Source organism: Homo sapiens, chromosome 2, assembly GCF_000001405.40.
Source record: "Homo sapiens chromosome 2, GRCh38.p14 Primary Assembly".
In the NCBI taxonomy this organism is placed as follows: domain Eukaryota; kingdom Metazoa; phylum Chordata; class Mammalia; order Primates; family Hominidae; genus Homo; species Homo sapiens.
The window spans coordinates 134,133,237-134,143,806 of record NC_000002.12 but is presented as its reverse complement, the minus strand read 5'-3'; the positions used below and the strand labels follow the sequence as shown (position 1 = coordinate 134,143,806).

At 44.7% G+C, this 10,570-nt stretch overlaps 1 protein-coding gene across 12 annotated transcripts in view, besides 3 other annotated features; it reads right to left on the bottom strand.

Annotated features, from left to right (window-relative positions):
• The window catches only part of MGAT5 (alpha-1,6-mannosylglycoprotein 6-beta-N-acetylglucosaminyltransferase), a 334,687-nt gene that overhangs the window by 310,815 nt on the left and 13,302 nt on the right, over positions 1 to 10,570 (bottom strand). The window lies entirely within an intron of this gene.
• Positions 8,780 to 8,949: an enhancer, noted in NCBI's record as "experimental_52669 CRE fragment used in MPRA reporter constructs". NCBI's record gives its function as "activates a minimal promoter by MPRAs in K562 erythroleukemia cells, with activity observed for both the introgressed and non-introgressed 2:134892514 variant alleles {active_cell/tissue: K562}" and the evidence as "EXISTENCE:reporter gene assay evidence [ECO:0000049][PMID:34662402]".
• Positions 8,971 to 9,592: an enhancer, noted in NCBI's record as "OCT4-NANOG hESC enhancer chr2:134891786-134892407 (GRCh37/hg19 assembly coordinates)". NCBI's record gives its function as "activates a minimal SCP1, AML or CMV promoter by ChIP-STARR-seq in naive H9 embryonic stem cells {active_cell/tissue: H9 hESC(naive)}" and the evidence as "EXISTENCE:reporter gene assay evidence [ECO:0000049][PMID:30033119]".
• Positions 9,593 to 10,215: an enhancer, noted in NCBI's record as "NANOG hESC enhancer chr2:134891163-134891785 (GRCh37/hg19 assembly coordinates)". NCBI's record gives its function as "activates a minimal SCP1, AML or CMV promoter by ChIP-STARR-seq in primed H9 embryonic stem cells {active_cell/tissue: H9 hESC(primed)}" and the evidence as "EXISTENCE:reporter gene assay evidence [ECO:0000049][PMID:30033119]".

The following is a 10,570-nucleotide window of genomic DNA, read 5'->3' as shown; positions in this document are numbered from 1 at the left end:
AGTACCAGAAAGATTAAATGAATACACAGTAACCACATAAACATTGTTACCAGGTTACTGCACACCCTCCTCTTCCACAGGTCTTCTAACACAGTAACTAGGATTTTTCTTGTCTTCAGCCAGCTCCATTTCCCTTTATCCTCAGCCAACCATTCCAGCCCAGCACCACCCTTCCACCCCTCTATTTCCAGGCGCCTGCCTGATGTTCCTCATCCATCCACTCAACCATTCCTTCATTCATTCCAACGCTTCCCAGGCATCCAGGATGCGCCGAGCGCGGTTTCAGCTCACAGTGAATCCTACATCCTAGGAAACAAGAACATGTCAGGAGTTGGGAAGATCATGAAAACAAAGCTCCCTGTTACAAAATAGGCAGCAAGCAGGGGCCAGAGATACAACCCACTTCACTCCCTGCCCACTTCTGCCCTCTCCAGTGCTTTCTCAAATTGAGATATTAATAAAATCCACAAAACACAGAATCAGTCTTTAACAGTAAACAAACTTAGCGGCATTGAGTATGTTCATCATGTTGTGTGACCATCACCTCTATCTAGTTCCAAAACATTTATATCACCATCCCCCCACCAAATAAAACCCAGATCCATCAAGCATTCTCCCCATGCCCCTGCCCCCAGCAACACTAATCAGCTTCCTGTCTCTGCGGGTTCACCTATTCTGTGTATTCCATGTCAGTGAGTCATCCGCTACCATTCCAATTCAGAAACAGCCCTGCCTCCCTTTGGTGCTCTCCCAGCCTCCTTGAGGAGGGCCTGTCTCACATTTGTCCTCCCACCCCCATGCCCCCTCCGGCCTGTATCTCTAAAATCTCGGAACAGGCTCTCTAAACCTTTGAGCAATTCTATCACTCTTGAAAAAAACCAAAACAGGACCAGGTGCAGTGGTTCACACATGTAATCCTAACACTTTGGGAGGTCAAGGCAGGAGGATCAATTGAGGCCAGGAGTTTGAAACCAGCCTGGGCAACACAGTGAGACCTTGTCTTTATCCCGCCCCTTCTCCACAAAAAAAGAGTTAAAAAACAAAAAACAAACAAAACAAACACTTCCCTGACATTTCTTCCTCTGTCAAGACAGCCCCAACACCTTCCTTCCCTTCTCAGCTTCTGATTCATTCCATGGGATTTGCAACTTGCCAAAACCAATAAAAACGCAGAAGGCCTTGGCTCCCCAGTGCCCTTTGGTCATGTGAAGCATGTGACCTCAGATAATTATTGGTTTTGCCCCTCTGTGCCTCAGTTCACTCATCTGTAAAATGGAGATCCGAGTAACACTTACCTCACTGGATTTGTATGATGAATCAGAACTACCTGAGTGCTCACAAATGTCCCCAGCACACTGTGAGGGCTCCAGTGTTGTCACTATGGTCAAAATGATCTGTCCCATAAAACCCATAGGCCTGCTCCACTCAGGCGGGGCCGGGCCTTTCTGGCCATTGGTTCTCTTTGGCTCAGCCTGTAAATGCAGAAATTTTCCAAGAATTGGCTCTTCCAGGTTAACACTCTTTTCGGGGTGGTATCATCTGGTCTCCTGACTTTAACCACCATCAATGCCAACAACACCTAAACCACAGGGCCCACCTTTCCCCTCTCAGGCTCAGCACAGCTTTGCACTCACATGGGAACACCTGGGCAATGCGTCAGTAACCTCAGGAGGCCCTGAACTATGCAAGACCAGAATTAAGCGTCAGCCTCCCCTTGCACTCCTCAGCCACCTCTCCTCACTCGCTCCACTTCAAGTTCCCCTGCTCTCCCTTGGGGACCACTGAGGTACCCTGCCCTGCCACCCCACCTCCTGAGCCAGGCTTGCTCCTATTCCCTCCTTTTCACACTGCAAGCAGAACAGACCATCTGAAAACCAAATCTGCCCAAGCCATGCACCTTTCAGGTGCTCTCCACTGCTCTCAGGAGCAAGTCCAAATGCATTCCAAAGGAAGGCTTTTCCTGACCTCGCCCCATCCCCAGCAGCTCCTGCTCTGTCCTCTAGGCTCTGGGAATGCTGACTGCTGCCAGCAATGCTGGAGTTGAACCACATGGCCCCTGCTGGCAATGTCTTTCCCATCCCATTCTTCCAAATTCCGCATATCTTTCAAGGCTCAGTTCAGCCACCACCACCTCAAGGAAGCCTTTTCTGATGCCCTAGATTGGACTAAGCCCCCTCCCTGCCTGCAACTCACTGACATTAGTGTGAGTCTGTTTTCCTCATTAGGCTGTAAGCTCCCCGAAGACCTTGTTTATTTCCTCCATCTACCCATTCATCTACCCATCCAGCCACCCACCCACCCACCCATTCATCCACCCACCCATCTATCCATCCACTTACCCATCCAACTATCCATCTATCTATTCAACAAAAATGTCCCAAGAGCCTACATTAGGCTAAGCAATAGGAATATAATAGCTAATAAGACAGACAAGGTTGCTGCCCATCAATGGAGGCAGACAAAAACATGTGACCACCACATCCCCCCATATCAGTCCATTTTTCTGCTATAACAATACCACAGACTAGGTTATTTATAAAAATAGAAGTTTATTTGGCTTATGGTTCTGGAGGCTGAGAAATCTAAGAGTGTGGTGCTTGGCATCTGGTGAGGGTCTTCTTGCTGTGTCAGAACATGGTAGAAAAGCATGTGAGACCGAGAGGGAAGTGGGCTGAACACATCCTTTCTATCAGGAACCCTAGATAACTCTCTCAATAACTAACCCATTCCCTGGATAACAGCATTATCTCTTCATCAGGGCAGTGCCCTCATGATCTTCCCGTTTTTAAAGGCCTCACTTCTTCATTCTGCTACAATGGCAGTTAAATCACAACATTTGTTTAGGAGGGAATATTCAAACCATAGCACCTCCACAGCAGCCACACAGTGTGGGTTCTGGAGCTAGGTTCCCTAGGTTGAAATTCTGGCTCCTTCACTTGTTAGCTACGAAACCTGGGGCAAATTACTTAACCTCTCCGTGCCTTAGTTTCCTCCTCTCTCTAATCAGAACAGTAGTGCCCAGCTAGCACTTTTTTTTCCTGCTAATTCATTTTGCTAATGTATTTCATGAATAGATAAATCAATGGAAAGTATCCAGAACACTGCCTGGTACAAGTTAGCTATTCTCCGATTATTGGAGCAATGGGACTGCTTATGACATGGCCCCACCCTGGATGTGGGCACAGGTGTTATATTAACCTTTGTGCCCTGTTTCTGATATAAAGTACTCATCAAATGTTTACTGAGTCACACTGGTAAGCCCTACAAGAATGGCTCATTGGCTCGGCATTAAAGACTTTTAGAGCTGGCAGTCACGCTGGATAACATCTGACCCAACTCGCCCACTTTTGTGGAAGACACAGAGGCTCACAAAGTGGCAGGGAAAGCGTCAGTCCCCAGATCTCCTGACTTGCCAGCCAGTGCCTTGTCCCCCATTCTAAGCAGACTTGTGGCGCCCACAGCAGCACAGCTGCTCCACATCGTCCCATCTCTCCTTTCCCACGGTGGAACGGCCACAGCTCCCACACCCAGGCCGCCTCCTTCTCTGTTGGCTTTGCCTTCTCATGCCTCTCTTTTTTCTTTTTCTCCCTGTTTTGTAGCCAGTGGTTCTCCTATTTCCAGGGGGAGAGCTGACCATTCATAAAGACAGCCAGAGATCATTGTCCTCTTCAGGGAGTGGCTCACACAACCCAGTGGGGCAGGTGCAGGCCGTGAGCCCCCAAGTGCCTCTCCAGGTCCTGCTGGTCACTCCTGATGGAGGAAGGACTTTTTCTTCATCACCAGCAAGTTTCACTTTACCTACTTTAGGATTCATGCTTTTACAGGTGTTCCAAGAGTCAGAAGGCAGGTCCTCCCTAAACCTGGGTGTAGAAGGAAGGCCACATAACAACTCTCAACTAAAAGCTGTTCTCGAATGGCCAGCAAGTGCATAACCAGCACCCCTCCCTCTGCTTGCTCTGGGTTGCCAGCAGTGGCCTGGCCTGTGGATGGCATGTCATCCTCTGGCACTGCTTACCTGATGACAAGTGGTAATCTAGCAGGGCTGTTTTACAGTCTTTGGTATTTACAGAACCACTCTGTTATGAAACTTTTGATTTTGCACCTCAGCTGGCTTAGAAGGCTGCAAGAGAACATGACACTGCGAACAAATAATTCCTGCGATACTGTGCGAGGTTTTTCATTCCTTTTCATGGCTGGGCTGTAATATCATTTATAAGAACCCTGCGCTTCATCTGTCTTCATGTCTGAGCCTCCGCTGGGTGTGTTTGCATGCCTGTGTCTGAAGCTCACAGAGGTACAAAGGCTTGTCACAAGCCCCAGTGTGGCAAAGCAGTGTATTTGAGGGCTGGGATTTTTACCTTAACATCTCAGAGTAAGATTATACCATACACAAAATTGCCTCATTGATAGCAGCCACGGCCAGAGTGCTAAAAACAAGAGTAGTAAATTTGTATCTACACACCTTACTATTAAAGAATTCATCTACCATTCTGGATCTTAACAGCCACAGGCTATGAAGATGTTTGCCCTGGATATGAGATTCTGTGACTCTTACTCCGTCTTTCTTATAAATGCTAAAGCAGACCCATTCTTTTAAACAAACAATGGAAAACCATTTTTATGAAGGAAGAAACTGTCTTTCCAACAAAACCCTTTCCATGTTTTTACATGAAAGAAGATCTCTAGTAGACATTTCTCTGGCCAAAAAAACCTTTCGCCTAGCCTTAGAGAATTTCTCTTCGGCTGTATTCTTAGAGCAGAACTCATCTTCAGAAGGTTCTTCCATCTGTGCCTTACCAATTCATTTGCAGACAGAGTGGCCTGATCTAACAGCATGTAATGGAAAGTAGGCACAATTTAAGATCAGAGACCTGCATTTAACCCCCAATCTGTACCTTATCAGTAGGGGGACCATATATCCCCTTTTATGCCTGTTATCCCAGCATAATCATCAATAGCACCCCTCTTCACTCTCAAAAGCATCCTGATTTGGATGATAAATTATATGACCACCTTGCTTATTATGTGAGTCACCCCAGACAACATACTTCACTTTCCCTCATAAGTTTCACGTTTGTCCGGTGAAAATAAGGGAAGCTAATATACATGGTTATCCCAAGCATGACATTAGACAGTGTGCACAAGACACGGTAACAGGAGGACCCAGTATTCCCAGTACACCAGCTACCATGCCCAAAAGGTCTGTTCTCAGAGAGAAAGTATTCATCTGCATGTGTGAGGTCCTCACCTTTTGGTTGTCAAGTTGAAGACAGGACCTATATTTTCCACTTTCTACTGTGATATGGTCTATAAAATGGTAATGGGATCTATCCGTGTCCAGCAGCTGCACAATTAATTCTGTCATCCATCTGACCAGAAGATGGACCACACATGGGTACTTTAACTCCTACACTTTAGACCTTCTGGACTTTATTTATGCTCTCCACAAAGTAGGATTAAAATATGAAACAGTCTGAGTGAATGTGGTTCAGAGTGGGGGAGGGGAGTGGTCAGAGATCCTACAGACTGAATCACTAACTCTTAGCGAGTAAATTTGGTGAATTTCTTGCTTTCTCAAGCCAAAAAAAAAAGGGCAATGATAGAAGAACAGCTTCTTAATAAAATTATGTTAGGTATCTCACTTTAAAAATTAGGCCTAGGTCAGACTCACCTCTATAATCCCAGGACTTTGGGAGGCTGAGGTGGGAAGATCACTTGATCCCACGAGTTTGAGACCAGTGACCAGTGACCAGCGCCACTGCCCTCTAGCCTGGGCAAGAGAGCAAGACTCTGTCTCAAAACAAAAAAAAAAAAAACAGGCCTAATTGTGCCAACAATCTTGAACACAAATCTGTAATATCAATCAGTGACTCAGAAAGCAACATAACTTTGCTATTTCCATTTGCAAAAAAAAAAAAGAAAAGAAAGGCGAGATGCTATCCCTTCATTGATAAACTTGTTAAATACAAATACATTATCTTTAAACAGTAAGAATATAATGTAATGTAACTGCCTCAATAATAAAACTGACCAATAACATAGAAAAATGAAGCAGAAAAAAAAAATAGAGACTATTCTAGTCCAAGCTTCAGCGTTAATATTTTTTTAAACAAAGAACGAAAAATTATTATTCCCATTATCTTTTCATATGGTTATCCGAGGGATTTGTGTTGAATACAAGAAATCCCTCCCCGCTCTGACTTCTAAAGAAACAGGAAGGAAATGTTCAGCATTTTCATGCTCTAAATATAGCTACAAGTGGAAAGAGATGCCCATGGCAGCACAGCAATGACTTCAAGTCTGCAGCCTGACGAGGTGCAGTACAATAAGCTCTTCTGTGGACAGAGTCATTTCCTATCAAGAGAAGTTTCCAGAAACAGAAAAGGGCTGACTCCACTCTCAGAAATCCAGGTACAGCAGCGGCAGAGCACCCTCTGGGCTGGACTCACTGAGTGGCAAGCGGGAAGCCAAGAGGAAGTGCATTCCTATGGCGCTGACTACCTCCAAGCCAAGCCCCAATTCCTAGGGGATGCCCCTCTGTCCAAAGCCATACGCCAACAGGAAAACACCCCTGGCAACCATGTGCACAACATATTTCTTGGGCAGAGACCTATTTCTTAGAGTGCTGTTGTCGATGATATAACCTTAAAGCATACCAAGAGGAAAACAGGGGGTTAATGTGTATTTAGGGCATTTTCCTGCAGAATGTCTGTGGGTTTTCTCCACTTGAAAAACTGAAACTGAAGCTGAAATCAGACTTCTGTTTAGGATTCAGATAATTAGGACATTTGGCTTTAAATGAATCACATACCTTGTAGTGACAGATATGGCCTTGCTAGAGGAACGTTCTGACAAACTTGCCTCCCTGGATATGATAAACCAGTGAGCCAAGAATAGAGCTCAATTCTTTGACCAGGTCTAAGATAAAAAGTTGGAGATAAGCCCACACCCACTCTACAAACGCACCTGACAGCCTTGGAGAAAGCCCAAGTCAGGAGGAGGTCAACTCTTGATGAAGAGGAGGGAAAGGGGAGCAGTGGGTGTGCAGGGTCTAGAACACACCACAATTCTACTGTACCCCTTGGCAAACTAGGGGCAGCCTATGGACTCCTTCTCAGAAAGACTTTTTTAATGCATAAAATAAAATACACAGGACTGCAGAGGAAATCAATGATATTGAAATACTGTTACCAAAATATTTTTTATATTTATTTATTTATTTTATTTATTCATGTATTTTGAGACAGAGTCTCACCCTGTTGCCCAGGCTGGAGTGCAGTGGTGCAATCTCAGCTCACTGCAACCTTTGCCTCTGGGATTCAAGTGATTCTCCTGCCTCAGCCACCCTAGTAGCTGGGATTACAGGCACCCGCCACCACGCTCAGCTAATTTTTTATTTTTGGTAAGAGACAGGATTTTGCCATGTTGGCCATGCTGGTCTCAAACTCCTGGCCTCAAGTGGTCCGCCCACCTCGGCCTCCCAAAGTGCTGGTATTACAGGCATGAGCCACCGCGTCTGGCCCCCCAATTTTTTTTTTAATTGGTAAATGGCAATACCTGCAGCTTGTATCTTAACACATTAAATAATACTATCTAGCAACAGGTGCAACAACCACCGTAATTTCAAAGTGGTGATGAATACTGGTATTTCAACACACCTGTTAATCATCTCTAATGTGACATGAAAATATTAGATTTCTATTGGTGACAAAGTCACAAACAGCACTAATACTACTGTGACTTATGTCCAACCTTCCAAAGTGAAAGAATTGCCAAATTTTGGCTAGAAGTTAGGGAAAATGAAAGTGTAATATTTTCCCATGCAAGTTCACAGGTTTCCCTGAAACCTTGTGCAGTTATGAAACTCATGTGACAACCTAATTTTACCTTCCATTCCTGCAGTTTTTCCAGAATAATGCAGAGACCTACACGGGAGCCATGGCCCAGCAAGAGCCAAAAACTACCTGTATGCATGGGAGGGTGGAGGTTGTACAACAAGGACAGTCCACCACCCATGGCTGTGGCTCGGGGAGGAGCACTATGGGACCAATATCTCTATTTCTGCTATACCCCACATGTGGGCCAAGGTTTCTTTTTTTTTTTTTTTTTTTTTTTTGAGATGGAGTCTCACTCTGTTGCCAGGCTAGAGTGCAGTGGCGCGATCTCGGCTCACTGCAACCTCCATCTCCCGGGTTCAAGCAATTCTCCTGCCTCTGCCTCCCAAGTAGCTGGGACTACAGGCACGTACCACTATGCCCAGCTAATTTTTGTATTTTTAGTAGAGACAGGGTTTCACCATGTTGGCCAGGATGGTCTCAATCTCTTGACCTCGTGATCCGCCCGCCTCTGCCTCCCAAAGTGCTGGGATTACAGGTGTGAGCCACCGCACCAGGCTGGTTTGCTTTCTTTAAAAATGCTTCACATTAAAAGTATTAATTCAGCTGAATCATTAGTCTAGAGAAAAAACATTACTTTACAATTCATTTCCCCTAGTGCAATGTTCTAAACCCTATCAGTCCCAAAGCCCCTGGGGCTTACAGTGAACTTATAACACTCTCTTTACTATCTGAACCAAATGCTCAGATAACCTACCTAAACACAATTTCAAACATATACATTTAATGTCCTAAGATTGACAGAAAAGACAATAAAGGAAAGTAATTTATGACAAATCTAATGTATTTCAATATGCAATTAGCTGGGCCAGACCACTCTAAAAGACATAATGGAGCCATTAGATGCCTTCATTTTAATGTGAAATTTTTAAAATGTGTCATGTCAGCTACAAAGATGGACTGATACAGGTGATGTGCTAATTCTACAGGTAACATGAGTTTCCAAAATGGTAAATTTCCTAACAAAAGAAAGCACAACCTTTCTTCATTAACTGGAAACGTCGATGTTTACTTAAAATGTGCAACGATTATTTGCTTATACCTAAGTTAGGTCTAGGTTCAGATTTTGCTTGTCCATGATTGTCTAGTGGGTAACAGGAAACATTTTGTGATACACAACTGTGCTACCCATTACAGATGTTTAGCATCCCTGGTCCCCAACCAATAAATGCTAGTAGCTCTCCTCAATCACTGACAATCAAAATTGCCCCCCCAAATTGCTGATATGCCCCCAATAACATTGTAGGGCCTGGGACTAGACCAGAGTCCTCTCTCCAGGTACCACGCCCTGCCCACCCCTGGGTGATCTCAAGCTGGGCACTGAGGGAAAACCAGAACTGGCATTACAAAAGAAAGATCAGCCTTATTGTGTGGCTTACACCCTGTAACAAATCCCCTTACTCAGAGTTCTGCCCTTGGGACAGGAAAAGCAGAATAGGCAGGGAGGAGAATTAAGCAGCCAGACACATGGAAGCAGAAAGGAGAGCAACAAGGATTTGTGGGGTTCCTAGAGCCTCGATCCCAGGCTGCAGGGGGCTCCTGGACCCTATTCCTGTGTTCCTAATGTGAGTTCTCTCCTTCCACTGAAGCAAGGTCTGGCAGGTTTCTGTTGCTAGCACCCAGAAGAATCTTTATTAATTAAAGGCATCCAACCACCTAGAAGGACAGCCATCCATCTGAACAAAGGGCAGCAGCTAACATCAAAAACGCTTAGGAGTGAAACCATCCCCACAGGGTTGATAAGAATTGCATGCCAGGTTCTGGACTGAAATATGGTTACAATGAAGCACTAGTCAGGCTGCACCTTGGCCCGCTTCCCTGTTGCTAAAAGTCACATAGCACTAGATAGTGGCCATTTGCATCCCCATTGTTCCTATGAGTAGGATTTCTGATATTGGGGTCCTAAGACAGTTTAGGAATTGATTTGCATCCCCATTGTTCCTATAGACAGGATCTCTGACAGTAGTATCATAAGGTCTTTTTTTTAAAGGATGGCTTAAAATGTTTTCAGACCCTGAATGCCAACAACCAGTTTGAAGACCCCCACAGAGGAACGGATCAGCATGAGAATGCAGGTGGTTCACCTCCCTGTCCCATGTTCACCCTGCATTTTTCGACCAATCAACAACCGCCAAGCCTGCCCCTTTCCAAAACCCTTAAAAACTCTAACCCAAACTCCTCAGAGAGATGGATTTGAGGTTTCCTCCCCTCTCATTCGGTGGCCCTTTGATTAAACCTTTCTCTGCTGCAACCCAGTTTCTCTACATATTGACTTGATGTGTGCAATGAATCTATTAAGATTACAGGATAACCTATTCTAATGTCAATAAAAGGACCCTATTTGGGGGATTTTTCTCAGATTTTACCTAAGCTCTTCATGCTGTAGTTTAAGCTCATTTATTTTGATTCCATTCTCACTGACAATAAATAAATGGGCCAGGGACCATCCTTCACCTGGCATTTCAGATTCTACAAAGACATATCCAGATCCCTCTGAAGTTTTTCTGCCTCAGCTCTTTCTCATCAATCCCATGAGCCATGCAACATAAATAACAATGTTGTCCTTTCTTGACAGGCTTGGAAAAATGAAGGTATTGGAGAAATTTGGCCTTTAAGGAGCCAATTAAATCTGAGTTTTAAAAAAATTCCAAAGTCTTTTCAACCACAGAAGTCCA